The sequence below is a fragment of the Homo sapiens genome, chromosome 20, assembly GCF_000001405.40.
Source record: "Homo sapiens chromosome 20, GRCh38.p14 Primary Assembly".
Taxonomy (NCBI): domain Eukaryota; kingdom Metazoa; phylum Chordata; class Mammalia; order Primates; family Hominidae; genus Homo; species Homo sapiens.
This window is the reverse complement of record NC_000020.11, coordinates 38,410,489-38,438,349: the sequence shown is the minus strand read 5'-3', so window position 1 is coordinate 38,438,349 and position 27,861 is coordinate 38,410,489. Positions and strand designations below refer to the sequence as shown.

The 27,861-nt window shown below is 49.5% G+C and overlaps 1 protein-coding gene, 2 long non-coding RNA genes and 5 other non-coding genes across 75 annotated transcripts, besides 5 other annotated features; 7 read left to right on the top strand and 1 right to left on the bottom strand.

The window, feature by feature from the left end:
- Positions 1 to 1,633: 1,633 nt before the first annotated feature.
- On the bottom strand, positions 1,634 to 7,557 carry LOC124904958 (uncharacterized). Its single transcript, XM_047440636.1, has 3 exons — positions 7,406 to 7,557; positions 3,745 to 3,887; positions 1,634 to 3,508 (listed from the first exon to the last, which is right to left on the bottom strand). Exons 1-3 carry the CDS (start codon positions 7,555 to 7,557, stop codon positions 2,862 to 2,864), a joined length of 942 nt encoding a protein of 313 aa, XP_047296592.1. The 3' UTR covers positions 1,634 to 2,861.
- Positions 2,900 to 2,959: an enhancer, noted in NCBI's record as "active region_17858". NCBI's record gives its function as "activates an Ori minimal core promoter by ATAC-STARR-seq in GM12878 lymphoblastoid cells {active_cell/tissue: GM12878}" and the evidence as "EXISTENCE:reporter gene assay evidence [ECO:0000049][PMID:35858748]".
- Positions 2,980 to 3,269: an enhancer, noted in NCBI's record as "active region_17857". NCBI's record gives its function as "activates an Ori minimal core promoter by ATAC-STARR-seq in GM12878 lymphoblastoid cells {active_cell/tissue: GM12878}" and the evidence as "EXISTENCE:reporter gene assay evidence [ECO:0000049][PMID:35858748]".
- SNHG17 (small nucleolar RNA host gene 17) lies at positions 3,022 to 17,762 on the top strand. 67 transcript variants are annotated; one of them, NR_185950.1, is made up of 9 exons: positions 3,022 to 3,153; positions 3,724 to 3,846; positions 7,238 to 7,309; positions 11,847 to 11,931; positions 12,302 to 12,415; positions 14,591 to 14,744; positions 16,109 to 16,263; positions 17,252 to 17,344; positions 17,450 to 17,762. It is a non-coding gene; the product is annotated as a small nucleolar RNA host gene 17 (long non-coding RNA). The 67 variants fall into 67 exon arrangements; NR_185963.1 differs by lacking the exon at positions 14,591 to 14,744 and adding an exon at positions 10,584 to 10,670 and having other exon boundaries at positions 16,109 to 16,258; NR_185936.1 differs by lacking the exon at positions 14,591 to 14,744 and adding an exon at positions 10,584 to 10,670.
- SNORA71D (small nucleolar RNA, H/ACA box 71D) lies at positions 4,351 to 4,488 on the top strand. The gene is given in 1 exon segment (NR_003018.2): positions 4,351 to 4,488. It is a non-coding gene; the product is annotated as a small nucleolar RNA, H/ACA box 71D (small nucleolar RNA).
- Positions 4,550 to 4,629: an enhancer, noted in NCBI's record as "active region_17856". NCBI's record gives its function as "activates an Ori minimal core promoter by ATAC-STARR-seq in GM12878 lymphoblastoid cells {active_cell/tissue: GM12878}" and the evidence as "EXISTENCE:reporter gene assay evidence [ECO:0000049][PMID:35858748]".
- Positions 7,387 to 7,887: an enhancer, noted in NCBI's record as "H3K4me1 hESC enhancer chr20:37059106-37059606 (GRCh37/hg19 assembly coordinates)". NCBI's record gives its function as "activates a minimal SCP1, AML or CMV promoter by ChIP-STARR-seq in naive H9 embryonic stem cells {active_cell/tissue: H9 hESC(naive)}" and the evidence as "EXISTENCE:reporter gene assay evidence [ECO:0000049][PMID:30033119]".
- On the top strand, positions 8,546 to 8,683 carry SNORA71C (small nucleolar RNA, H/ACA box 71C). Its single transcript, NR_003017.2, has one exon. It is a non-coding gene; the product is annotated as a small nucleolar RNA, H/ACA box 71C (small nucleolar RNA).
- Positions 10,907 to 11,044, top strand: SNORA71A (small nucleolar RNA, H/ACA box 71A). The gene has a single exon (NR_002911.1). It is a non-coding gene; the product is annotated as a small nucleolar RNA, H/ACA box 71A (small nucleolar RNA).
- Positions 12,010 to 12,309: an enhancer, noted in NCBI's record as "tiled region #13566; K562 Activating DNase matched - State 14:Gen5'". NCBI's record gives its function as "activates a minimal TATA promoter and a strong SV40 promoter by Sharpr-MPRA in K562 cells {active_cell/tissue: K562}" and the evidence as "EXISTENCE:reporter gene assay evidence [ECO:0000049][PMID:27701403]".
- On the top strand, positions 13,020 to 13,155 carry SNORA71B (small nucleolar RNA, H/ACA box 71B). Its single transcript, NR_002910.2, has one exon. It is a non-coding gene; the product is annotated as a small nucleolar RNA, H/ACA box 71B (small nucleolar RNA).
- On the top strand, positions 16,576 to 16,703 carry LOC124904974 (small nucleolar RNA SNORA71). Its single transcript, XR_007067761.1, has one exon. It is a non-coding gene; the product is annotated as a small nucleolar RNA SNORA71 (small nucleolar RNA).
- A 3,575-nt stretch (positions 17,763 to 21,337) lies between the features above and the next one.
- On the top strand, positions 21,338 to 26,046 carry LOC124904901 (uncharacterized). Of its 2 annotated transcripts, none has more exons than XR_007067582.1 (2): positions 21,338 to 23,244; positions 24,683 to 26,046. It is a non-coding gene; the product is annotated as an uncharacterized LOC124904901 (long non-coding RNA). The 2 variants fall into 2 exon arrangements; XR_007067583.1 differs by lacking the exon at positions 21,338 to 23,244 and adding an exon at positions 24,494 to 24,505.
- The last annotated feature ends 1,815 nt before the right edge of the window (positions 26,047 to 27,861 follow it).

Genomic DNA, 27,861 nt, shown 5'->3' with positions numbered 1-27,861 from the left:
GTTCACACCATTCTCCTGCCTCAGCCTCCCGAATAGCTGGGACTACAGGCGCCCGCCACCACGCCCGGCTAATTTAACATCCTGTTCCACTACCGTGGAACAAGCATGAACCACTCCTCTTAGGTGTCCATCCTCCTATAGGCACTGGGGCTGCAGGAATGAACCCGCCAAGGTGCCCTCCTTAGTGTTATGAGAATAAGGAGTGCAAAAGAAAATCTGGAACTACAGAAAATCTGCAGTTCTGCCCGTTCCCAGCTTTCTGAGGGCACCTTGGCCTTAATTGCCAGCCCAGAAGATTCAGCCTGGTGAGGCCTCAATCTGAATATGCAGGAGGCCAAGCCCTTTCAGGCTCATAGGTAGGGCGGCGGAGGTGGGTGTGGGTTGTGGATGCACTCAGCCTACTGTTTGCTGTGTCTCTTCCAGCTCCAAAGGGCTGATGAGAGCCAGATTGCCTTATATCTGTGCTGGGGAGCACAGCAGCAACCAGCCACATGTGACTACAGAGCACTGGAAACGTGGCCAGTCGGAATTGTAATGTACCATAAATGTAAATCACACACCAGATTCCAAAGATCTCATACAAGAAAAAGAATAGTAAATAGCTCATGAATAATTATAAAATATTGATTACATGCTGACATGATAATATTTTGGTTATATTCAGTTAAATTATTAAAATTAATTTTACTTTTACTTTTTATCTTTTTTTTTTTTTTTTTTTGAGATGGAGTTTCGCTCTTGTTGCCCAGGCTGGAGTGCAATGGCGAGATCTCGGCTCAACGCAACCTCCGCCTCCCGGGTTCAAGCGATTCTCCCGCCTCAGCCTCCCAAGTAGCTGGGATTACAGGCATGTGCCACCATGCCCTACTAATTTTGTATTTTTAGTAGAGGCGGGGTTTCTCCATGTTGGTCAGACTGGTCTGGAACTCCCAGCCTCAGGTGATCCACCTGCCTCAGCCTCCCAAAGTGCTGCGATTACAGGCGTGAGCCACCATGCCCGGCCTTGTGTTATATTTCTATTGGACAATGCTATCTTTCTTCTTCTTTTTCTTTTTTGAGACAGGGTCTCGTTCTGTCAACCTGGAATGCAGTGGTGTGATCTCAGCTTACTGCAGCCTCAACCTCCCAGGCTCAAGTGATTCTCCTGCCTCAGCCTCCTGAGTAGCTGGGACTACAGGACTGCTCCATCACACCGGGCTGACAATGCCATCTTAGACTTTTCAAACACAGCACATTTCCTCTGCTTCATAAAGAATCCCAGAGTCCTTACGGTGACAGAAGCCCTCAGCTTTCTCAGAAATACTATAATATAGCAACTACTAGGCCTTGGATATTTGTTCTGTGCTACGGTCTTGATATAAATCATTCCATTTAATTCTCACAGCAACGCTATGAGCAGGGAACTATGACTGCCTATTTTCCATAACTGGAAACTGAGGCGGGGCGGAGAAGTTAGGTCACTTAGCCAAAGTCACATGGAGAGTAACAGCAAGAGTGGGAGGCAGAAGAGGACACCAGGGCTGTGTGGCCACAAGTGGGCACACCTGACCACCCTGCCCAGTGTCCTCTCAGCCACAGCATCTGTATTAGTCCATCCTCACACTGTTATAAAGAACTGCCTGAGACTGGGTAATTCATGAAGGAAAGAGGTTTAATTGACTCACAGTTCAGCATGGCTGTGGAGGCCTCAGGAAACTTACAATCATGGCGGAAGTGGAAGCAAACATGTCTTTCTTCACATGGTGGCAGCAAGGAGAAGTATAGAGCAAAAGTGGGTAAAGCCCCTTATAAAACCATCAGGTCTCATGAGAACTCACTCACTATCAGAAGAACCGCAGCATGGGGGTAACCACCCCCATGATTCCATTACCTCCCACGACAGGTGGGAATTATGGGAAGTACAGTTCCAGATGAGATTTAGGTGGGGTCACAGCCAAACCATAGCAGCATCCCACAGCCCCTCCCCATCACAGAGACTCCCAGTGTTCTCACAGTCTGGGAATCCCATGGGCCTCTCCCAGGTACAAAATATGGAGCAGATCTCACCTCAGGGACCCCCATTTCCCTCATGGTTGCATAGATCAGGACTGGATTTTCTTGTCCTTCTGACCTATTGAGTACCAAGAATCTGACTGGAGCGGGGCGGAGGGTGGGGCGTGGGCTCCTCATCAGGCCCAAGGGTGGGCTGCTTGCACTCCAGAACATGGGCAGAGTCAGTAGCAGGGCTGTCTCAGGCCGAAGAGGCACATCCTGCCCAGGGTGCAGGCAGTGCCAATGCTTATGAGGATTTGTGGGCCATGAGTCCCCTCCCAAGATTGTCTCCAGTATGTTGCAGGGAACATGGGACATCTGTCTACAGTCTCTGTCACTGTGCAAATCTGATCAGGTTCCTCAGATGCCAGTCTGGTCAGGTCTCTTCTGCTTCAGAGACTCTTTCCACCCTCCATCCCGTGTACTTTGAGGCTGGAGTTTAGCAAAGCAGTTACCCGCTGTGCATCTCTCTTGGCTCATCTTCTCACGCTCACATTCCAGTCTCAGGCCATGACTCAGTCATCTCGGTCTGACATTGTTCAGAAAAAAAGGAATGGGGCGGGGGTAGAATTCATTCATTCAACTGTGCTAGTCACTGAACTAGGTACTGAGTACAGTGGTGAATCAAAGACAGATGCCTTTGGACCCTTGCAGAAAGAAGTCCAAACTAAGCACAGTCCCCTCATCGTAGTAACAGCTCCTATCATGGAAAATTGGCCATTCCTACAGATTAATAATGAATCAGTGACCAAGGAACATCTTCAGAACAAACAGAAAAGCAAAGCAAGTGGGAGAAGTTTACTTCTAAACTTCCAGATAGTTTTCGAAAATTATCCCAAGTCCTCCAGAGTCTGGCGTTGAGCCTCCGCTCCGCCAGGGGACGCTGCAGGACTGCTCGCGTCGGTTCCTACCGCTCTAGGCCGCAGCTCGCGCTCTCGTCTGTATTTCCGCCGGCGCGAAACGAGCGTAGCTTCCTTGTCGTGTGGCCTCAGTCCTTCGCCGTCCCTCGCCGTCCTTCGCCATCGCACGCCACCGCACCCCATCTCTCGAAATCTGCAGACATCTTGATTTTTCCCACGCTGTCTGTCAGGTCTCCGCCGCCACTCGACGCCAGGGCGCCGGGTGAGTCCACAGCAGGGCGCATGGTCGGCTCCACTCTCACCATCGGGGGAAACTGAGGCCCCGGGGAAGGCGGCCAGAGAGGTCAGGCCCTGTCCTTGGTGCAGTGTCTCGTCCTCTTTGCCGGAGTGAGCCCCCCAGGATTCGCGTGTCCTCGGGAAAGACACTGGCAGGTGAGTCGCGCCCTTGGCCGCGGCAGTGCTGAGCGGGCCACGTGCGGTCGTCAGACCCCCTGTCCGCGCAGCTACTCTGCGGGGAGGCTTAGTGCCCCTGGATGGCGGGAAACAGGGCTCGGCGACTTTAGCTGCCCGCCCCCGACTCCTGGCATTGGAAGCCTCCAAAGCCACTTGACTGTTGCCTACAAAGTGCCAGTCATTGTGCCACGTCCTTGAGACCGTTAACTCGTTTTCCCCTCAATAACTTTTAAAAGTAGGTGTTAGAACCTTCATTTTACAGACCAGTTAGCTGTGGTTTAAATGGAAGACGCTGCCAGCACTCCAGTGGGGCAGAGTCTGGACTTCTGTCCCCGGGCCTTGTACTAAAGCCCCCTCCCCGTGCTTTTTCCTTGCCTAGGCCTTGTGGGCTGTGCTGCACCTCGGACGGCTTCGCACCAGCCAGCGCCCTCTCTCTCCTGCAGCACTCTGATCTGCACCCCCTGAGGGGCTTCCACTGTCCGCGGGGTGAGAATGCCCCTGGGTAAGTGCCGCTGCTTCTGCGCACCTTGGGGAAGGACCCTTCTGTGGGACGCAGTAGAGGGGACAGTCAATGAGCTCAGCCAGTTCTGAGTTCTGAGAACTGTCTGGCAAAGCGGGTGCAGAGCAAAGCGTGACTTAGGAGACGGGCTGCGCTTGGGGTCACATGCTAGCTAAGTTCCTTCATTCCCCTGAGGTTGACTTTCTGTAAAGTAGGGAAACTGCAAAGGCTCTCTGAGGGCAGAGGCCTTGGCTGTTTTTCTTGATTTTGAACCCACGGTGCCTGTCCACGTGTAGATACTCAGAACTGGTGGGCTGAATGTACAGCCGAGGCATTTTTACCAGAAGTCTGTTTTCCTGTGGACTCTGGGTGGGGACAGATGGAATCTGCCTGTGAAGTGATGATGGCTCTCAGGGTCCTGGGTACCCTTCTCTTCCCTGGGGGGTGAGCCTCCCTCTGGAGATCTGGCAGCTAACACGCTGACGTGGGCTCACCTGCCCTTTTTTGCACCTGTATTCGAAAGTGATCGTGGGCTGCCTGTGCCCTGGTCATTGATAGTGCAGGGAGAGAAATCGCGGAAAGTGCTTCCCCGTGTTTGGAGGGTCCGCTCCTGTCCCTTTCAAACTCTGGAGCTTTCTCACACCTCCTTCTCACCATCTTTCAAATGCCTCCTGGCACTTGGTGTCTTATTAGTGAGTGCTCCCTGTGCAAGGCTCAGTGCAGGGTTCCATGAGGCGTTCACCAGGGTCTATGAGGGGTGAGTCCCTGCCTCAGGATTGGTGGTGAAACCACAGCTGCAGCCCCCACTAGTCACACCCTGTGGCAATTACTGGCTTGATTGTCTTTGCCTCTCTCTATTGTGACCTTGAGGACAGTGTCTTGAGTTTTGTTTAATATTTTATTGTATTTTTTTAGAGACAGGATCTCACTCTGTTGTCCAGGCTGAGGTGCAGTGTGCAGTGGCGTGATCATAGCTTGAACTCCTGTACTCAAGTGATCCTCGCACCTCAGCCTCCCAAATAGCTGGGACAGACAGGGTCTCGCTATGTTGCCCAGGCTGGTCCTGAACTCCTGGCTTCAAGTGATTTTCCCTCAGTCTTCCAAAGTGCTGGAATTACAGGTGTGAGCCACTTCGCCTGTCTCAGTATCTGAGTCCTGTCTCTTGACTTACCTGGTGCTTGGTAGATGGTTGATTTTCAGCAGTTATGGAACAAATGAAAAACAGGAGATGGGCCGGGTGCAATGGCTCACACCTGTAATCCCAGCACTCTGAGAGGCCAAGGAGTGTGGATCACTTGAGGCCAGGAGTTCAAGACCATCCTGGCCAACATGGTGAAACCCCATCTCTACTAAAAAATACAAAAATTACCTAGGTGTGGTGGCACACGCCTATAATTCCAGCTACTCAGGAGGCTGAGGCACACCAGAATCGCTTGAACCTGGGAGGTGGAGGTTGCAGTGAGCCAAGATCATGCCCCTGCACTCCAGCCTAGGCGACAGAGTGAGACTATGTCCCTAACAAAAAACAAAAAACAGGAGCTGGAAAAAGACAACTGTGGCTGGTCGTGGTGGCTCACACCTGTAATCCTAGCACTTTGGGAGACTGAGGTGGGTGGATCGCTTGAGCCCAGGAGTTTAAGACCAACCTGGGCAATATGGCAAAAACCTGTCTACAACACACACACACTAGCCAGGTGTGGTGGCATGCGCCAGGAGGTGGAGGTTGCAGTGAGCCGAGATTGTGCTACTGCATTCCAGCCTGGGCTGCAGAGCCAGACCTTGTCTTTAAACAACAACAACAAAAAAGACTTCAGTTGTAAGGTGACAGGGCTTAGCACATTGATGCATGTCAGGGAAGTAGTTTTGAGCAAGGCAGCCTGTGTGGGGGTGGTCAGAGCTATTTCCCACTGGCCCAGTGGTCATCCCATGGTGTTCTCTTTGACGGTCTTGTCCGTGGGCCACCAGGATTAATTTCCCCACAGGATTGTCATTGTGATGTCAGCGACCAAAGCCAGAGGTATAGCTAGGCATGGCTGATAGAAGAGTGAGATGTGTAATCAGCCCTGACCCGCAGATGACAGATGGGCCATCCTGCCCATCATAGCCCTTACTGTGTATGCTAGACTGCGCCACGCTGGTGTGCCACACCAGAACCTGTCCTAGGTTCAGAGTCCCCTTCAGTGTACTGCTTCAGGATCACAAATTCAACAATATGTGCATAAGATGAGACTTAAGCTGTCCCTGATGACTGGTTCTTCTCTAGATGAACTCTTCGTGTTGCTGAGACCGTAGACCACTGTTAACACTAGCCAACTTTTAGGAAATGTTTACCACCTGGTGGCTTCTGTGCCAGTACTCTCCTTGTCCTTTCCAGAACGGGTTTGACCAGGTGATGTCTAGATAGCTCATCCAGGGCTTCTTGATTCTGGCAGAGGAGGCTGATTGGTGCAGAGAGGCCCATGAGAGGTATCTCCACCCTGCCAGGAAGCAGGTGGACCATGGTGTTCTATGAGGTCTGTCCTCTGGAGATCTGGGGCTTTGTGTCCCACAAGGGTGGGTGCATGCAGGTTCCCTGGGCGTGATGTCTGGGAAGTAGAGAGAGGTGAGGTAAGAGTGTCTTTGTGCTGGCCCCAGTTTTACCCTCTTTGGGGCCATCATGAATACATTGGGTTCCTCTTGTGCCTGCTTGGGTTTAGCATCTTTAGGGATCCCTTATCATTGTTGTGTCTTGGAATATCTGACTCAAAAGCTGGAGGGCTTTGGCATCAAACCTACCTGTACCTTGGTCCCAAACGCTTTACCACTACTCCCTAGCTTTGGTTCTTTTTGTGATCTTCAGTTTTCTCGTCTGGAAAACAGGAGTACGCTGAGGTGATTTTTCTTAGGATCACACCGTCCCTATCTTCCACGTCCGAAGAAGTCTGCCAGCTTTCTCATCTGGAGGGTCTTTCCTTTACTTCTCCTGGTTGGGGCAGGTTCCGTTTATGTGGGACAAGATGGAAGCTGCTTCATCCTGTGCTCTGCTGTGCCACTGTCCTGGCTCAGGCCATTTTTCAGGCTTCTGACGTTGGTCTCCAATTTCAACAAGCCCTGGATCTCTTTCTGCCCCTGTGTGCAAAGTGATTACAGGCTGCTTGTGTCTTGGTTATTGGTAATAAAGGAAAAGTTACAAGGTTTTCCTCTTGTGTAGAGGCACCATTGTCCATTTCAGACGGGATGACCTCAGGGGACTGTGTCAGTGACCAGGATGGGCTAGACAAGCTGTCAGTACATTCACCTCCTGAGACACTGATTCCCCTGGTGTGTTTTCTGTGGGTGAATATCGTGGTTTCCTGGACTTGCCATAAGCAGTGCCAAGTGCATCAGTCACATCTTGGCTTCTTGTGCCCTGCAGGAGTGTCACATGACTGCCGCCCCATGTGTGTGAGAGGCGTCCTCTGGGAGAGCATGGATCCTGAGGTCCCAGGTAAGTGGGGTCCTGCTCAGTCCTCTAGAGCTCAAGTTCTCTGCAGGTTGTGAGGCCAGAGGTGGTTGGGTGCTGAGGAGTGGGGAGTGAGGACACCGGTGAAGGCTGCTTCCCTTTGCTCCTGTCTTTGCTCCTTCAGCAGGCAGGGACAGGCCTGGGCCCTCTTCTGCCTTCGTGGGGCTGCTGCCAAGAAGGTGCTCCCTGAGCTTGATTGGGGCTCTGAGAGTCCCTGACAAAGACCCTGTCATGTTGAGAGGAAAACCATGTGTTGGAATGGACAGAGGGGCTGCGTTTCAGATTCAAGCCTGGATTCATACCCAGTGCCCGGCTGAGCAGTCTTATGTAAGCCTCAGTGGAACAGATAGCCAATATTGATACCCTCCAGCCCAGTCTGTTATTTATTTATTTATTTATTTTTTGAGACAGAGTCTTGCTCTGTCGCCCAGGCTAGAGTGCAATGGCATGATCTCAGCTCACTGCAACCTCTGCCTCCCGGGTTCAAGTGATTCTCCCTGCCTCAGTCTCCTGAGTAGCTGGGATTACAGGTGCCCGCCACCATGTCCAGCTAATTTTTTCTATTTTTAGTAGAGATGGTGTTGGCCAGGCTGATCGCGAACTCCTGACCTCTGGCAATCCACCCGCCTTGGCCTCCCAAAGTGCTGTGATTACAGGTGTGAGCCACTGTGCCCGGCCTATTTTTTTATTTTTATTTTTATTTTCTTTTGAGACGGAGTCTCTGTTGCCCAGGCTGGAGTGCAATGGCGTGATCCTGACTCACTGCAACCTCCACTTCCCGGGTTCAAATGATTCTCCTGCCTCATCCTCCCGAGTAGCTGGGATTACAGGTGCCTGCCACCATGCCTGGCTAATGTTTTTTTGTATCTTTAGTAGAGATGGGGTTTCACCATGTTGGACAGGCTGGTCTCAAGCTCCTGACCTCAGATGATCCACCTGCCTCAGCCTCCCAAAGTGCTGGGATTACAGGCGTGAGCCACTGCACCCGGCCAGCCCAGTCTTTGAGAAGAGCCCCAGGATTCTCAATATTTCTGCCCATGTTTGCCTTCCTTTCTGCTTCTGGCAGGGAGTGGTAAGTGATCTCTGGGAGTCAGAAGCAGCATCTGTAATCTTAGGCTGTAAGTCTGCTCATTGCCCTGTCAGCTGTTCTGTTCCAGGTGAGACCATTGCCCGGAATGCCAGCATTGGCCTCCTTTCTGGGCTTGCCCTCTGCCCTTTCTGCCCCTGCATTCGAAAGTGATCATGAGCTGCCCGTGCCCTGGTCATTGGTAGTGCAGGGAGAGGAACTGCCGAGAGCACTTCCCCGTGTTTGGAGGGTCCACTCCTGTCTCTTCCAAACCCTGGAGCTTTCCCACACCTCCTCCCTCCCACCACGTCTTAGATGGCTCCTGGTGCCTGGCATCATCTAGTGGGTTGTGTTGCTCTTCTCCCTGGCCCAGGGCAGTTATTGTGAGACATGAGGGAAGGGTGTGGGGTGATGGGTTTGGCCTCATGGAGCAGAAGGGCTGGGTGTGGAGCTGAGATAGGGCTGCCCTGCTCCTTCCTCCCGGAAGCTTTCTCTGCCTCCACACCTCTCCTTCCACGTCCTTATCCAGCCCCTGCACCAAGCTGAACCTGTGGAAATTGTTGCCTGACTTGTTTCCTGGCTCTCTTTGCTGTGGTCTCAAGGGCAGTGTCTGAATTTTGTTCCCTACTTTGTTATGTCTGCCAGATGGTCAGTATTCTGACAGTGTGGGACAAAGGAAAAACGGCAGCCTGGGCAACCCCGCCTCTATAAGAACTAAAAAATTAGCCAGGCATGGCGGTGCATGCCCCTGTAGTCCTAGCTTCTCAGGAGGCTGAGGCAGGAGGCTCTCTTGAGCCCGGGAGGACAAGGCTGCAGTGAGCCATGACCATGCCACTGCACTCAGCCTGGGCAACAGAGTGAGACCCTGTCTCAAGAAAGAAAAACGAGAAAGGGAGAGTCCCTCCACTGTAAGGAGATCGGGTTCATTACATTTTGGGGTGTTGGAGAAAAATACTGAGTCAGCACCTGTGTGGGATTGGTGGGAGCAGATTTGGTGTTTTCCACCCCTTCACAGGATTCTGAGGTAACTCATTTCTGTTGGCCTTGGCCTTGTATGGGGAGGATTTCCCTCCAGCCTTGTATGGGGAGGATTTCCCTTGTATGGGGAGGATTTTCCCTCCAGCTTGTGGGAAAGGAATCAAGGACCAGAGACAGGCAGGGGAGAAGATCACTGAGGGATTTACGGCAGCAGCCTCTGCACGGCTTCCCCACGACCTCCCCAGCTGCTTGCTGGACGCTGCTGGAGAAACAGCACATCCCAAGATCATCATGGCCCCAGCATCCTCTTGAACTTAGTAACAGTTGGCCTGACAGATGAAGCGGATATCATCCCTGCCTTAGAAGTTCTCTAGCCCCTTTCTTAGAGATAAGCTGCTATTTCATTCCTAAAAGAAGTCATGGCTGTTCAGGTGAGAAGAACGGTTTAGTCAGCATCTATGCAACACTGTAGAGATGCTTAGTGAGAGGTGTTGCAGGAGAGTGGCAGACCGCAGGGCCCGAGGTAAGGTTTCTTGTCCATCTCTGGAATTTTGGCTTTTTGCACCCTGTAAAGTCACGTCCCCTTTTTTTCTGGTGCTTTGGTGGTGACGTAGGGAGAGGTGAGGATGAGAAGAGGAGCCATGTCCTATGGATTCCCAGATCCAGACTCCTCTTCCCTGGGAAAGCTGGATTGGAGCTGGCCCCTCCTTCTGTGCCTTCAGGGGCTGTGGAGGAGGAGGCCCCTGCAGGGAGCTGCCTGGGGCGAGCGCTGGGGGCTTTTCCTGCAGTGCATTAGCAGCATGTCATAATGGAAAGTGGCTGGATTTCTTTCCAGTTGTAATCAATGGTTAAGATTTAACCTAGCAACATTGTAGGGGTACACAGCCAAATGATTCAGGAAAAAAGATGCAGGTTGAGTCTGGAGGAATCCCTGTGCCAGCTTCCTCATGCTCCCTCCCTCTCTCAGAAATCACATGGAACCCATTCTCCCCTCAGCAGTGAAAATGCATTCAGCCTGTGTGCAGTGTTTCTGCCCAGGGAAGCCCAGTAGGGCCTCCATGCCCGGGGTGTTTACTGGGATCTGGTTATGTAGACACCACCTGCCTAGCACGCACCAAAATTCCAGACTTTCAGGAAAACAGGTGCCTGTGCCACATTATTTGCACGGAGAGACTGTGTCCAGTGAACGGTTCTGATCAGTAAACTGTTGACTAGGAACATCCCGAGAGCCAAGTTCCCAGATGCCAGCCAAGGGCCATCTGACCTGTTTTGAATCTCAATTTCCTGATACAGAAAACAAAGGTAGGGCATAATTGATTTTTACAGACGTGACCCCATGATCCTGCTCTCTAGTCCCCAGATTTTTCCAGGGCTTTTGTCAGAGGTGTTTCCCCTTTGATTCCCCTTGGTGGTTAGGTTTTATGGGATTTTACAGGACAGATGGCAGCTGCAGGAGTCTTGTACTGTCCCTGACTTGGGTCATCCCACAGGCCCTGGCACCATCCTCCTGCCCTTCCTGGCTCTCCTGTCTGTTTCTGCTCCTGCATCCGAAAGTGATCATAGGCTGCCTGTGCCTAGGTCATTGATAGTGCAGGGAGAGGAACGCTGAAAGAGGTTGTCCCCGTGTTTGGAGGGTCCACCCTATCCCATCCGAACCCTGAAGCTTTCACACAACTCCTGTTGCTCTCCTGCCAGCCCTTGAGGAGTCCGGCGCTTGCTTGGCTGCCACATGAAAGTCAGTGCGGGGGGGCATCATGCTTAAGTCTTTCTCAGCTTGACCTCTCTTTGCAGAAACCAGGCTCTGTGTTCTGAGGGGTAGATCAGGAAGGGAATGTGATATGTAATGAGTCATGGTGTGTCGCAGTGGATAGCACAGTTTCGAATAAGTGCAATATTGGCATATAAACATGAGGGAGACTTTGAGGTTGGGGTGAGCAGGGCTGACCCCGTGTGTGTGTGTGTGTGTGTGTGTGTGTGTGTGTGTGTATGTGTAACTTGGGGACAGGATAGGGTAGCATCTTTACATCTTTACATGTCATTGGCCTGGAATAGGGGGTCCTGAAGGGTTTGTCGTAAGAAAGAGAAAGTGCTCATTGCTGCAAGGGGAGCACAGCCGGGTTCTGAGAGGCAAAACACTTCCCTCACTTCCCACCCAAGAGTTTCGCCTGTTCTCTCGACCCTCTGAGGTGTGCATTGGTGTCACTCACTGGCCACCATTCCAGCTCTTAATTCCTCTGCCTTTTGTGCTGGCCTTTGGGGCTCCCCTGAGGATGACTGGTTCTCAGGTTGCCCCTGGAGGAATGGGTGGAGTTGTAAGATCAGGAATAAAGCTAGAGAGGGAGGACCAAGGGGAAGTCACTGATGCAGCCGCCGTCTAGCCCATCCCACCCCGATTGAGAGGTCGCTTTTTCCTGTTGAACATGTTGGATAGTGGAATGTGTTATAAGAAGTGATATGTGTGGCTTCTTGTCATTGCAGGATTGTCAGCTGACCTCTGTCCTGTGTGCCCAGTGGCCCCAGGTGACGTGTCTTCAAGAAGAGGCTGAGCTGCGGTGCTTGTAAGGTATGAATCCTGGGTGCTTCTCTAGAGAATGCACTGGTGTTCAGGCCGCAAGGACGAAGGCTTTGAGGTCACTAGAGGGGAGGCAGAGGCTGCTTCCCATTGCTTGCTCTTCCACTGAGGCCCACAGGGACATGTGACACCCTCTTTTCCTCGAACTCTGCGACTCCACTGTGTGAATCACGGTGGGGCTTACAGAGCTCCCCTTGGGCTCTGAGTCATCCTAGTGTGGATTGGCATAGTTTGTTGAAGTGGGAGGAGTACTGCATTTTGGAGGCAGGCAATTAGCTAGTGGTTTTCTCTGGACTTGGTGGCGATCCTTGTTATGAAGTGATTTATGGATTTTTTTTTTTTTTTTTTTTTTTTGAGGCAGGGTCTCATTCTGTCACCCAGGCTGGAGTGCAGTGGTGCAATGATGGCTCACTGCAGCCTCGACCTGGGCTCAAGTGATCCTCCACCTCAGCTTCCTGAGTAGCTGGGACCACAGGTACGTGCTGCTGCACCCAGCTAATTTTTAGAAATTTTTTGTAGAGGCGGAGTCTCACCATGTTGCTTGGGCTCGTTTTGAATTCCTGGGCTCAAGCAATCCTTCCACCTTGGCTTCCCAAAGTGCTGGGATTATGGATAGTAAGTCCAGGCCTGGCCGACGTGTGGATAGTATCACACAATCCCTGACTTCCTAATCCAGTGAATTCTCAACATTTCACCCAGAGTTGATCTTCCATCTCATTCTCTTATGAGGGAAGCATTTGAGTAGTGGTTCTCAAACTGTGGTCCCAGAACCAGGTACCATCAGTATTACTTGGGAACTTGTAAGAAGTGCAAGTTCTTAGCCCTGTCCCAACCTACTACATCAGAAGTTTTGGATCTGGAGCCAGCAATCTGGCTTAACATGGTCTCCAGGTGATTCGTATTCATGCTAAAGTTTGGGAAATCAAACCATGTTAGAAATCTTTGGGAATCAGAAGCAGCTGCTGCAATTCTAGGCTGCAAATCTGGTCACTGACTTGTTTCCAGGTCTCTTAGTTTGGGCCCTTCCTAAGCTGCTGTCAGTGCCTCCCCTCTCAACTCACTCACTGCCCTATTTTGTCCCTGTATTCGAAAGTGATCGTGGGCTGCCTTTGCCCTGGTCATTGATAGTGCAGGGAGAGGAATCAATGAAAGCGCTTCCCCGTGTTTGAAGGGTCCACTCCTATCCCTTCCAAACTCTGGAGCTTTCGTACATGCCTTTATTCTCACCAGTGATGTTACCTCCTGGTACCTGGTTGTCGTGCCAGACCCCTGTTTACCTCATTAGGGATGGCACCAGGTTCAACAGGCCGGAGAAGAGACCTGGAGCCAGTGAAGGAAACAGGGTTTATCTGGGGAACTTGAGGGCAGTCAGCAGTCTAGTGGTGGGGGGCTGGATGGGGGCACCTCATCCACTTGTAAAATGCATGCAGATTATATAGCACCTTCCCCCAGTAACCTCCACATGGCAACCCTCATTTCCTAAGAAGCTATTGTTACATGCATCTACCATACACTGGTGCTGTATGGTTCATTGAGTGTCCCTTGTGCCTAGCATGGGACTCAGAGGCTCCTGTCAAAGGACAGTGAAGCAGGGACCTGCCACACTGAGTTTATGTCTCTGAGCTAGTTTTGGAGCCACAGTAGTGGTTACCCCTTCCTAGAGCTCCCCCCAGAAGCTCTCTCTGCCTCCCCATCACACTCCTTCCCACCTCTCAGCACTGGTCACACTGTCTGGGAATTGTTGGTTTGCTTCTCCTGCCCACTGTGCTGTGAGCTTCCTCAGGGCAGTGCCTCTGTCTTGTTTCACATGGTGCCTGGTAACTGACATGTAGCACCTGGACAAACAGTAAATGAGAAGACACATTGTTGTAAGGTGACAAGGCTTATCCCATTGAGCAGTGCTGGGGTTAAAAATGTCCTAGAACAAGCCAGCTGTTACAGTCCACCTTCAGTCCTGGCTGTGAGGAGCGTCCATGGTCTACCAGAGGTGGATTTTCCTTCTGGCCTTAGATTAAGGTGGCAAGGGCTAGAGTAGTAATCGGGGGAGACAATATGCTATAGGTATAGTCAGATGTATGAATGCAGCTCTTACACACTAGATGGTAGGTGCGGGGCTCTCCCACCCCACCTGTTCATTACCCATCCCAGGTCTGTGCTGATCACTGCCAGGCATGGCCTGCTCCAAAAGCCTTCTTGCCTTGGCATCCTTTTTTTCTTTTTTTTTTAATTTTTTTTTTTTTGAGACCCAGTCTTGCTCTGTTGCCCAGGCTGGAGTGCAGTGGTGCAAACACGGCTCACTGCAGCCTCTGCCTCCTGGGTTCAGTGATTCTCATGCCTCAGCCTCCGAGTAGCTGGGATTAAAGATGTGCATCACCACGCCCAGCTAATTTTTGTATTTTTAGTAGAGATGGGGTTTCACCATGTTGGCCAGGCTGGTCTCGAAGTCCTGGCCTTATGTGATACAAATAATTGGGACAGCCTCCCAAAGTGCTGGGATTACAAGCGTGAGCCACCACACCCAACCTGTTTTTAAAATGTTTATTGTCTATATTTGAGTTTACAACATGATGTTATAGAATAATGGGACAGATATAGATAGCACAGTGGTTACTATGGTGAAGCCGATGAGCATGTCTGTTATCTCACATAGTCACCGTTTTTAGTGTGTGTGAGGAGCAGCTGAAACCTGCTTCACAGAAATCCCTTATGTTGTGCGTGAGCCCTCTAGACTTACTCATCCTGTATATCTGCTACTTGGTGTCCTTTGGCCTACATCTCCCTATTTCCTTCAGCTCCTGCCCATGGTAATTACCATTTTATTCTCTATCTTTGTATGCTTGACCTTTTTTTTTTTTTTTTAACATTGCACACATAAGTGAGATATGCACTGTTTGTCTGTGTCTAGCTTATTTCATTTAACATAATATCCTCCAGGTCCATCCATGTTGTGGCAAATGACAGGATCTTTCTCTATCTTTTTCTTTTTTTTGGTTGAGACAGGGTCTCCCTCTGTCACCCAGGCTGAAGTTAAGCCCAGGAGACAGAGGTTGCAGTGAACTGTGTTTGCTCACTGCAACCTCTGTCTCCTGGGCTTAAGTGACCCTCCCACCTCATTTCCCTGAGTAGCTGGGACTGCAGGTGCATGCCACTATGCCTGGTTAATTTTTGTATGTTTTGTATAGATGGGGTTTCGCGATGTTGCCCAGGCTGGTCTCCAACTCCTGGGCTTAAACCATCCTTCTGCTTTCGCTTCCAAAAGTGCTGGGATTACAGGCATGGACTGCCATGCCTAGCCCAGGGTCTTCTTTTTTTTTTTTGAGATGGAGTTTTGCTCTTGTTGCCCAGGCTGGAGTGCAGTGGTGCGATCTCAGCTCACTGCAACCTCCACCTCCCAGGTTCAAGTGATTCTCCTGCCTCAGCCTCCCGAGTAGCTGGGGTTACAGGTGCATGCCACCACGCCTGGATAATTTTTTGTATTTCTAGTAGAGATGGGGTTTCACCATGTTGGTCAGTCTGGTCTTGAACTCCTGACCTCAAGTGATCCACCCACCTCGGCCCCCCAAAGTACTGGGATTACAGGTGTGAGCCACCGCGCCTGGCCAAGGGTCTTCTTTTTAAGGGTGAATAATGTTTTGTTGTGTGTGCGTGTGTGTGTGTGCGTATGCCACATTTTCTTTTTCCATTCATCTGTTGATGGAGACTTAGATTGTTTCCGTATCTTGGCGATTGGGAGTAATGCCGCAGTGAATATTGGAGTGCAGATGTCTTTATGAGGTGTGATTTGATCTCCATTGAGTATGTGTCCAGAAGAGGGATAGCTGGGTCTATGTAATGTATACTGATAAGCAGCACAGAGTGGGCACATAGGATAGCATAGATGCCATTTTTCTCACAGATAGTTTGCCGACCTCTTCCTAGAGTTACGTTTTTCTTGTTCCTGAGACAATAATGTGGCTGTAAGTACTAATAGAGACAGTGGCATTTGTGGGTTGCTTATGATCTGCCAGCCCCTGCGTTAAGTGTTCTCTGTGTCTGTTTCAGATGGGTCTGCTGTGTGCAGAGGCTCCATGGGATGTGTTGTCTTCATAGTAGCAGGGCGCTGGACCATGGGTCCGCAAGGTGGGATTTTTGGACTGTTGTCTGGAATATGTTTCTTTGCATCCTGCAGAGTCATGTGCTGTTCCTGGGGCTTGGATGATGTAGGGGAAGCAAGGTGAAAGTGGTATCCCGTGGTTCCACGTTCTGTCCTGCTGTGGGGCTGTCCCTCACATGCTTTCAGTGGCTGTTGCAGAGGAAGAGCCTCCGGAAATCTGCGTGGGTAAAGTGAGCTCCCCGGGGGAACCGTCCTCCTCCCTTGAGCGCTGGTGTGTCCATAGTGTGCTGTGATCTGGATTAGCAGTGAGTTTTTCTTTCAGGGTGTGTGTGTATGATGTTAGGACCATATGCTCCTGACCTTTTCCAACCCAAAAGCGTTTCCATTTTTTTAATGCTGGAAGTGTCTTAACTCCTTTTGGGGTCTTAGAAGGACACACGGTGGCCGTGGCTGGGCCTCTGCTCAGCTGGGCTGCTCTCCCTGCCTCAGGCCCTTGACACCAGCCTCCCTCCCTTGCTGGCTCTCTTTCTGTCCTTCCCTGCTCTTGTATCCAAAAGTGATCATGGGTTGCCTGTGTCCCGATCATTAACAGTGCAGGGGTAGGAGTGCTGAAAGACATCTTCCCTGCGTTGGTCCAGCCTTCCCTTTCAAACCCTGGAGCTTTCCCACGCTGCAGCCTTTTTCCAACTAGGCTTTCAGAGCTTGGGCCTTTGTGGGCCCATGTGATGTGGTGACTAGACCCACCCCCTGACTTCTGAGGGTTCATTTTGTCTTTTCATGTTAGGGATCCTCCTGCCAGAAACCAGTCTGCATTTCTCTCTGGGCCCCACGCTGGAATGAATTCAGATAGCAGTGAAGGGCACACGTGAGAACTGCGAATCACGGGCTTTGCTTCATGAAATGTGAAATCCACATTGTTTCCACAGGCACCATCAGTAATGTCGAACAAATGGAGAAAGTTGCAGGTGGGGCTAGGAAAGCTGTATTCCTGTGGATTACTCTAGCTGGTCATTTGCCCCGATTGTGAACTGCTTGAAAGAAAAACGAAACTTCTAAGATGTTTGTCCTTTCATGTCCTTTCTGTTGGGATTTTTTATTTGGTGTGCGTGAATGAGGAGCTTCGCCCTGCTTGAATGGGACCCCTCTCAGTGGTGTCAGCTTGGGGAGGAGGAGATGGCCCTGGAGACTAAATACTTGTATGCTTTCTTACCCTCTTAGGTCTCAGCCTTAGATCCAAGGACAGTCCAAGGAAGTCCTAAGACCATGGAGTTGGTGATCTGGGATCTGGGTTTGCTGATATTTCTCACCGTGGTGAGTTGATGCCAAGAGCCAGAACCCACAGCCAGAGGCTCAGCTGGTCCGTGTTTATGCAGATGGGAACCTCAAATCACTGGTCTCACTTGTCCTTTGTTTCAGAATCTCTTGGTGGTGTTTGTGGGCACGAGAGGGGCAGAGAATGGAGAGTGAGGCTACCACATGAAGCGTCACCAGAGCTGCTCCCTGCTGCCTGCTCAGAGCACCCCGGATCCACTGTTCAATCTGCACAAGATTCGGGGTCCAGACATGGGAGACTTCAGCTGCCTCAGAGGACCGTGGACAGGGAAGGCCAGCCTCGCATCCCTCTGTCCATGCCTGGAATGACTTTAATAACCAAGAGTTTTATTTTTGAATTTGTAGCTGTCGTTCACTTTTTACCCACCCATTCAATAAACCTTACAGAATTGCTCCATGTGCTTCTTAAATCAGTGACAACCTGTGAGCCTGCCAGGCTGGCTTTGGAGAAGGTAGGCCATAGGCCAGATCTGATTTTCACTCTTCCTTGGCTCAGAGGATATTGTTTGAGGTATACATTTGGAACTAGGAGGTGAACAAGTGCTGGTAGTTGGTTCACATTTAGGCATTTAGGACCCATGATAATTCAGGGCATTGCAGAATAGTCAGGGTAGATTATGGAGTGAGACAGGTCTGATGTCATTCAGGAAGGCTGGAGTGTCCTGGATGACGTGGCTCATAAGTAAATGCCTACTTGTGAGATCAACTGTCCCAGTTTGCCTGAGATTGAGGGACTTCCCAGAAAGTGGGTTTTTCATTGCTAAACCCAGGGAGATCTTGAGCAAACTGGGACAAGTTGGTCAGCATGTGTGGGATGTAAAAATCCATGGTGTCAGCTTGAGAGGACAGGTTATGGGGTAACAGTGGGAGTAGGGTGAACATGGAGCAGCTGCCATTGATGGAACTGAGGGGTACTCTTAAGTTCAGGCTTTGGAGATTAGGGTAAAGTCACTTATTGCAAGGCCTAGGCATGGTGCCTTGTGCCTGTATTACTAGCACTTTGGGAGGCCAAGGTGGGATGATTTCTTGAGGCCAGGAGATCAAAACCAGCCTAGGCAGCAGACCCCGTCTCCACAAAAAATTAGCCAGGCACGGTAGCGCACTCCTGTAGTCCCAGCTACTCAGGAGGCTGAGGCAGGAGGATTGCTTAAGCCCAGGAATTCGAGGATTCAATGAGTTAATGATGGCACCACTGCAGCCCAGCCTGGGTGCCAGAGTGAGACCTGTTTTTAAGAGAAAGAAAAATTGCAGCAATGACATGATCTAAGGATGTGCACGCATGAACTGTCATCTCTGATTCACAGAGGGAGGAATCTACACATGTCCCAGGGGCCATGGTGAAAAGGTGCAGTTAATCTCCCCACTTGAAGTTAAAACCACCTTGGCTGGAGTTGGGGCAAAAATCACGCTGGTAAGCCTGTCTTGATGAATTTGGCACATTAATGGTCTGCCAGGCATTCTTTGTTTTTTTTTTTTCTCATGTTTTTTGTTTTTTTATTTTTTGAGTCAGCCTCACTGTTGCCCAGGCTGCAGTGTAGTGGTGTGATCTTGGCTCACTGCAACCTCTGCCTCCCAGGTTCAAGTGATTCTTGTGCCTCAGCCTCCTAAGTAGCTGGGACTATGCGCATGTGCCGCAACGCCCAGCTAATTTTTGTATTTTTAGTAGAGATGGGGTTTCGCCATGTTGGCCAGCTGGTCTCGAACTTCTGACCTCAAGTAAATACCCGCCTCGGCCTTCCAAAGTGTTGAGATTACAGGTGTGAGCCACCATGCCTGGCCTAAGGGGCAGGCATTTATGTTTAAAGGCACCATACCAGCAGTCAGTTCCCTGCAGAAGCATCCAGAAGTCACAGGTCCTTTTTCTGCCTTGGCCTTTGAGGACCATCCTGACTTTTTTGCCACCTTTTGCCAACTGGCTGTGGCTGCTTGAACAGATGCCAGGGGAAGGAATCTGGGTCCACTTGAGGAAGCTGTAACTGATGACAGATGTCTGCCACAGTGGAGGGGACAGCAGTAGAATACATTACCTAAGTCTAAGCAGTAATACAGTACCTAAGTCTGCATATTTCATCCGGCATCAGATCATCATGGGTGCCTCTCGCCACTGTTGCATGTGAGGCAGGAGCCATCCCAGGTCTTAAGGGCCTGAGGAACTCTGAGAAGAGCAGTCCATTAACCAAGGTGGCCCAAGAGCCAGGATTAGGTCAAGGAGGCGTGGCCCTTGCTGGGATATGTGCCCAGTATGAGGGCCTGAGGAAGCAGCTGGTTGGAGACTCCACAGCAGAACTGACAGCCAGGAGAATGGAGAGCTGGGAGAGTGAGGCTCATTCACTCAAAAAGCATTGTGCATTTACTTGGGAGCCAGACGCTAAGCTGGAGAAAAGGATACAAGGGTGAGTAAGGCAGTTTGTGTCCTCAAGGAGATCCCAGCCCAGATAAATATATGTAGCTGTGTTTCAGAGGCTTGGTTCCAGACCACTGCAATAAAGTGAGTTGCACACATTTTCTTGTCTCCTAGTGCATTAAAGTTATTTTAGCCAGGTGTGGTGGCACGTGCACCTGTAGTCCCAGCTACTCCAGAGGCTAAGGCAGAGGATTTCTTGAGCCCAGGAGTTCAAAGCCAGCCTGGACAACCTAGTGAAGACCCTTGTGTAAAAAAATCAAGTTTACACTATAGTGTAGTTTATTAACTGTGCAATAGCATTATGTCCAAAGCAATATAAATACCTTAATTTAAAAATATTATGAAAGAATGCTAATGGTTATCTTTAATCCTAGCTGCTTGGGAGGCTGAGCTGTGCACCAACATGCCCAGCTAATTTTTTTTTTTTTTTTTTTTTTTTGAGACAGAGTCTTGCTCTGTCACCCAGGCTGGAGTGCAGTGGTGCGATCTCGGCTCACTGCAACCTCCACCTCCTGGGTTCAAGCAATTCTCTGCCTCAGCCTCCCGAGTAGCTGGGATTACAGGCACCCGCCACCACGCCCAGCTATTGTATTTTTAGTAGAGATGGGGTTTCACCATCTTGGCCAGGCTGGTCTTGAACTCCTGACCTTGTGATCCACCCACTTTGGTCTCCAAAAGTGCTGGGATTACAGGTGTGAGCCACTGCGCCCAGCCACTAATTTTTTTTTTTTTTTTTTTTTTTAAGGGATAGGTTCTTGCTATGTTGAGACCCTGTCTGGTCTCAAACTCCTCCTAGGCTCAAGCTATCTTTTCACCTCAGCCTCCAAAGTACTGGGATTACGGGTGTCAGCTACCACCCCTGGTCCCCTTTGTGGAATTTTAATGCTTCCAGTCCTTTGCCTCCAAAGCTCTCCAATGCCTTTAAAACGATGGTTTTCTATTTTATCCACCCTTTCCAGTTCTTAGCAGAAACATTGGCCTGTCAACTACTCCCTTCTATTTAGAAGCAGAAATCTTGACATTAGCAGATTTTACTTAAAAAATGTTTTTCTCTCTGTTTGGAGAACGGATTATACCAGGGCAAGAGTGGAAGCAAGGTGACCAGTTGGAAGATTATGGCAGTTGTCTAGGTGACAGATATTGGTGACTTGGAGTAGGGAGATAGAGGTAGACAGCAAGATAGATGTCTATGTTCCAAGATAGAAAGATGAAGATACAATTTTAGGCAAATGAAGCTTAGAGCAGGGAAGTATGTAAAATGTGATATACCATTTTTTTGGTTAAAAGAAGATTTATTCGAAATCAGCCTGGACAACATGGTGAAACCCCATCTCTACTAGAAATACAAAAATTAGCCAGGCTTGGTGGTGGGCGCGTGTAATCCCAGCTGTTCAGGAGGCTGAGGCAGGAGAATCGCTTGAACCCGGGAGGCGGAGGTTCCAGTGAACTGAGATCGCGCCATTGCACTCCAGCCTGGGCAACAGGAGTGAAACTCCTATTGCCCAGGAGTTTTGAGAGTGAAACTCTCAAAAAAAAAAAAAAAAAAGATTTATATGTATATATGCAAATTGGGGTGATTTTTTTTTTTTTTATTTTAACATGCTTTTCTCTTTTTTCTTTCCCAGAACATCATAGTTTCTCTAATATATCCCTGGCATCCTTTTGGCTAGGGGGAGATTTGAATGCCAAGGAAGGCCACAGTGTTAGTCAGTCTTTGTCATTCAAAAATAGGATTATGCAGCAGGACAGTAGCCTTGCTTGCAAGGCAGGATTCTTCAATATTTTTTTTTAATTACTCCTTTATACCAGTAAGCAAACTTGGAGAATCTATTCCCAAAAATTTTACAGGGATGTGGAGTAGACACTTTTGTCTACCATTAAGGCTTAGCTGGAGTCAGAAAGAAAGATATAATTAGGGGTCACAAAAGGTTTTTACCTGATGCTCTTTTTTTTGTTATTGTTGTTGTTTTGTTTTTGTTTTTGTTTTTTTGACCTTGAGGGATTAAGGAAGAAGAAGGGGAACAGAGAAGCAGATGACAAGAGGCTCACATGGGTGTCCCAATTTCCCTTCTCTGGACTTTGACTTGGAGAGGGTGCAAGTACATTAGAGAGAACACTGAGAACAAGAGAGGAGACATTGACTTTGCTTCCCATTTAACACTGTGCAAGAGGCCACCTCTTGAATTGCCCCCTGCCCTAAACTGTAGTATAGCCATGGCAACTGGACAGCTTGGTGTGGTTGGGCAGAGGGACGTATCTTCGCCATCTTGGGCTGCCATAACAAAATTCCATAGATTGAGTGATTTAAACAACAGAAGTTAATTTTCTCAAAGTTCTGGGGGCCAGGAAGTCCAAGATCAAGGTGCTGGCTGATTCAATTTCTGATGAGAGCTCTCTTCCTGGCTTGCAGATGGCTGCCTTGCTGTGTCCTCATATGGTGGAGAGCGAGGGAATGGCCTCCCTGGTGTCTCTTCTTATAAGGGCACTAATTCTATCAGATTATGGCTCCACCCTTATGACCTCATTTAACTTTAATTACCTCCTTAAAGGCCCTATCTGTAAATATAGTTACATTGAGGGTTAGGCTTTGTGTTAGTCTGTTCTCACGCTGCTAATAAAGACATACCTGAGACTGGATAGTTTATAAAAGAAAGAGGTTTAATTGACTCACAGTTCCATATGGCTGGGGAGGCCTCACAGTCATGGTGAACGGGGAATGAGGAGCAGTCACGTCTTACTAACGGTGGCAGGCAAGACAGCTTGTTCAGGAAAATTCCCGTTTATAAAACCATCAGATCTCCTGAGACTACAATGAGAACAGTATGGAGGAAACCACCCCCTTGATTCAGTTATCTCCATCTGGCCCTGCTCTTGACACATGGGGATTATTATAATCCAGGGTGAGATTTGGGTGGGGACACAGCCAAACCACATCAGGCTTCAATATGTGACTTTTGGGGGTACAAAGTTCAGTCCATAGCAATTCAGTCCTTTGGAATTTAGCATCCTGGAGCTGCCCTGGGATCCTGAATGGTCTACGTCAACCCAGAGGTGGCTGAGGATGTGGCTGAAGAGTTTCCTAGCAGGGGCCACAGTACCAGAGTGAGGTACCAGACCTGCATCCTGCTTAAAAATCCAGCATGCACCCTGGAGAATTGCTGGCACTTGGCAAATATTTATTGAAATGAGCCGTTGGGCTGTATCTTCTTTTTGCATGTGTAATAGGAGTGTCCCTTGTTCTCCAGCCTTCAGGAGTCACCCTTTCCTTGAACGTCCTCTGAATATCAGCCCCAGATCTGTAGGAAGTCCACTTGAGTCTTCAGTAAATGCTGATATGTTCTTTTTCTTTGAGACGGCGTCTCGCTGCTGACTCCCAGGCTGGAATACTCTGGCGTGATCTTTGCTCACTGCAACCTCCACCGCCTGGGTTCAAGCGATTCTCCTGCCTCAGCCTCCTGAGTAACTGGGACTACAGGTATGTGCCCCTACACCCGGCTAATTTTTGTATTTTTAGTAGAGACGAGGTTTCACCATGTTGGCCAGGCTGGTCTTGAACTCCTGACCCCAGGTGATCTGCCCACCTTGGCCTCCCAAGGTGCTGGGATTACAAGTGAGAGCCGCCGCGCCCGGCCAATGCTGATGTGTTCTAACAAATCCATCCTGGTGGCTGTTTGTTGTATTTTTCTCTGAATAGCTCCATTGCTCCAGGCCTCTCTGTGGTTACCTATGGTTTTCACCTTTTCTCCCACTGCTGTTCTTTTCCTATGCCATTTTGCCCCAAACATTCTTATGATCAATTAAAGCTGGCTCCAGGGCAGCACAGGCTCTACACTCTGGCCGGATTTGTTTCTGCCTCAGAAATACGTGCTGTCATGGCCGGAGATGGCCATCAAGATGTCTCCTAGCTCATCCAGGCAGGTCTGCTCTCAGGTTCCACTGGGAGAATGTAACAGTGTTCTGGAGCTTGATCATCTCCCATCCTGGTGATCTCTCAAAAGGTCTTGCAACCCACCTGAGCGCTTAGATCAAATCCCAGTGGCTTCTGAGAACGTGTTGCTGGTTTGTGAGGGAGAAGGGATGGGAGAGGATAGTGAGAAAGAGAAGATGCTAGGAAGTGAAATAAGAAGGAAAGAGGAAAAGATATTACCATTTAATTCAACTCAGGGCTGGGCGCAGCAGCTCATGCCTGTAATCCTAGCACTTTGGGAGGCTGCAGTGGGTGGATTGCCTGACGAGATCAGTCTGGCCAACGTGGTGAAACTCTGTCTCTACTAAAAGTACAAAAAAATTGGCTGGGTGTGATGGTGTGTGCCTGTAATCTCAGCTACTCGGGAGGCTGAGGCCCGAGAATCACTTGAACCCAGGAGGCAGAAGTTGCAGTGAACCATGATCACATACCACTTCACTCCAGCCTCGGTGACAGAGTGAGATTCTGTCTCAAAAAAAAAAAAAAATTCAGTTCAACTCAAACTTAAGTATGCATCCAAATCACCTACAATGCTTGTTAAAGCACAGATTGCTGGGCCCCTCCCCTGAGTTTCTGATTCAGCAGATTTGGGATGGGGACCAAGCATCCTGACTTCTTCATTTTTTTTTTTTTTGTTTTTTTTTGAGACAGAGTCTCGCTCTGTCGCCCAGGCTGGAGTCCAGTGGCACGATCTCGGCTCACTGCAACCTCCGCTTTCCGGGTTCAAGCGATACTCCTGCCTCAGCCTCTGGAGTATCTGGGACTACAGGTGCCCACCACCACACCCTGCTAATTTTTGTACTTTTAGTAGATAACAGGATTTTGCCATGTTGGCCAGGCTGGTCTTGAACTCCTGACCTCAGCCTGCCTCGGCCTCCCAAAATGCTGGGATTACAGGTGTGAGCCACCGCACCCGGGCACATTCTCACTTCAAACAAATTTCCAGGTGATGCTGATGCTGCTGTTCAGAGGACCACATTTTGAGAACCACTGACCTCACCCCCAAACCAGCTTGGAGATGATGCACCCCATCCCAGTATAATATTTTACTCTTCATAATGGGTAGGCAGACCTGCTTTTTCTAAAATATCCTTGCAGCCAGCAGCCAGGTCCATCTGTTTGTTCATACAGTAGCAAGATGTCCAACAACTCCCTAAGGAACTTAATGAGCAACTTGGATCCAATTCTTCATTGTCTGTCAGAGGAAAGGCATCCATGCTTGGTAATGAGCCTTTGGATGCTCTACCCGGCTCTGTGGCCAGAACAAAGCGCCTTGTTATCTCCCTGACAAGGAGCCTACTTTATGGTGTTGGACAAAACACCTAGCACGTCATTCTCCCAAACAGCACAAACTCATACCCAATGAAACTGGGGGAGCAACGGGTGGTTCTTTCTACTCTCAGAAACCTGTTTATTTCCATCTTGGTGGTGTGGAGAGGGTGTTGTATGTTGCACATTGTGCAAAGGCCTGGGACATGATGGCCGCTGCTCCCACTCACCCATCTCATCAGCATGTTGTAGACATCTGCAGAGTCCTACACCGAACTGAGCATGCTGGGGGGTGGGGGGTGACAATGATGAAATGCATCCAGAACCTGTTTCAAGGCCAGGCCTGTGACACAGCTCCAGACTAGATGCATAGTGAAGGCTCAGGAAATGTCGGCCATGATTCTTTTGTTTTGTTTTCAGACGGAGTCTCACTCTGTCACCCAGGCTGGAGTGCACTGGCGTGATCTCAGCTCATTGCAACTTCTGCCTCCCGGGTTCAAGTGATTCTCATGCCTCAGCCTCCCCAGTAGCTGGGATTACAGGTACATGCCACCTCGCCCAGCTGATTTTTGTATTTCTTTTTTAGTAGAGACAGGGTTTTACCATGTTGGCCAGGCTGGTCATGAACTTCTGGCCTCAAGTGATCTGCCTGCCTCGGCCTCGCAGAGTGCTGGTATTACAGGAGTGAGACACGGTGCTCTGCCGATTCTTATGGGTATGATTAAGAAGAACATCCCAATCACAGCCTGGAATAGAACACTTTCGTGATACAATTCACAACCTCCTTCTGGGAGGACATGAGCATTCCTGATAAATGCTGAAGCAATTTTCTGATAAACTTTAACAAGATTAAAACCTCTTTGGGGAAATTAGCTACCCAAACCATTTGGATGATTATCATACATTCTTTGTCTTGTATTCAGTTTAATAATGATTATCCAACCATTCTCTTTTCCTTTGAAATATCCATAACAAAAGGGAACTACTGACTTGGCTTTGTGACAAGCTTAAAATAAAACTTCAACACATGCTTATAATTAATTTTTGTGAAAAAATGTAAAACAGTCATTATAGAGATAGGACATAAAAATAGTAGCTAACACTTATTAAGTACTTGTTGCTTGTCACATGTTATATTAAATGCCCAAAAACTCTTTATAATGAATTGGGTTATAATACCTCTGTTTGACTTAAAAGATGCTGATACAGTTTGAATATTTGTCCCCTCCATATCTCATGGTGAAATGTGATCCCTAATGTTGGACATGGAGCCTGCTGGGAGGTGTCTGGGTCATTGGGATAGATCCCTCTTAAGTGACTTGGTGCCCTCCCCATGGTAATGAGTGAGTTCTTGCTGTTAGTTCACGAGAGAGCCCGTTGTTTAAAGGAGCCTGCACCTCCTCCTCTCTCTCTTTGCTCCCTCTCTTGCTATATGATGCGCCTGCTCTTCCTTTGCCTTCTGCCATGATCGGAAGCTTCTGAGGCCTCACCAGAAGCTGAGCAGATGCTGGTGCCATGCTTGTACAGTCTGAAGAACTGTGAGCCAAATAAACCTCTTTTTTAAAATTTAATTTAATTTTTTTTTTTGAGACGGAGTCTTGCTCTGTCGCCCAGGCTGGAGTGCAGTGGTGCAATCTTGGCTCATTGCAAGCTCCGCCTCCCGGGTTCACACCATTCTCCTGCCTCAGCCTGCCGAGTAGCTGGGACTACAGGCGTCCACCACCACGCCCGGCTAATTTTTTGTATTTTTAGTAGAGATGGGATTTCGCCATGTTAGCCAGGATGGTCTCGGTCTCCTGACCTCATGATCCGCCCACCTCAGCTTCCCAAAGTGCTGGGATTACAGGCGTGAGCCACTGCACCCGGCAATAAACCTCTTTTCTTTACAGATTGCCCAGTCACAGGTATTCCTTTATAGGAATGCAGAACAGACTAACACAAATGCTAAGAAAGGCCGAGTGACTTGCCCAAGATCAGACAGCCAGTGATGGGTAGAGCCAGGTTTTGGTTCCAGGCCTGGCTGAGTCCCCAGCTGGAGCTAGCTACAGCTACACTCTTCTGCTTTGCCAGGGGAATTGCAGCAGGAGGTGAAGAGTGGGATAGTCTGCTGGGCACGGTGGCTCATGCTTGTAATCCCAGCACTTTGGGTGGCCGAGGCAGACGGATCATCTGAAGTCAGGAGTTCGAGTCCAGCCTGGCCAACATATCGAAACCCGTCTACTAAAAATACAAAAATTAGCCAGGCGTGGTGGCACGTGCCTGTAATTCCAGCTACTCAGGAGGCTGAGGCAGGAGAATCACTTGAACCTGGGAGGCGGAGGTTGTGGTGAGCTGAAACTGCACTACTGCACTCCAGCCTGGGTAATACAGTAAGACTCTGTCAAAAAAAAAAAAAAGAGTGGGATAGTCCCTGAGAAAGGGATAGGTATAGGGCTGTGGAACCACAGAGCACGGAGAGTGTTCTCCCAGGTAGAGGGCTTGGGAAGCGGACATGGAGGAAGAGATAGTCTATTCCAGAAGAGGAAGTAGGAGAGGGACTGGTGGAGACAGTGAGCAGCACATGCCAGGAGCAGCAGGAGGGTGGGCAGAGGCATAGCAAAGGCCCAGGCACATTTGAAGGTGATTGTAGAGTTCGATCTGCAGCCATGGGAGTGGCCCCCAGTCCTCTGAACAGCGCGACCCCTGTCATCCAGTGTTGTGGATCCTATGTGCTGCTACTTGGACTTTTTAAATTACTCTGGATTCAGAGAGCACAGCCACACAGTTTCATCACTTACTGGCTGTGTGACCCTGGGCAAGTCACTTCACCTCTCTGAGCTGAAGGTTTCCTCATCTGAAAACTGGGGGTAATGATAG

What these genes read in the sequence shown, in the direction of transcription:
- LOC124904958 (XM_047440636.1), bottom strand. Translation starts at nt 7,557, where the DNA reads ATGACAGGGTCTTTGTCAGGGACTCTCAGAGCCCCAATCAAGCTCAGG. An exon ending in AAGGGAAGCAGCCTTCACCG is followed by an intron (nt 3,888 to 7,405) that starts GTGTCCTCACTC and finishes TGCGTCCCACAG; the next exon opens with AAGGGTCCTTCCCCAAGGTG. An exon ending in CTGGTGCGAAGCCGTCCGAG is followed by an intron (nt 3,509 to 3,744) that starts GTGCAGCACAGC and finishes GGCACTTTGTAG; the next exon opens with GCAACAGTCAAGTGGCTTTG.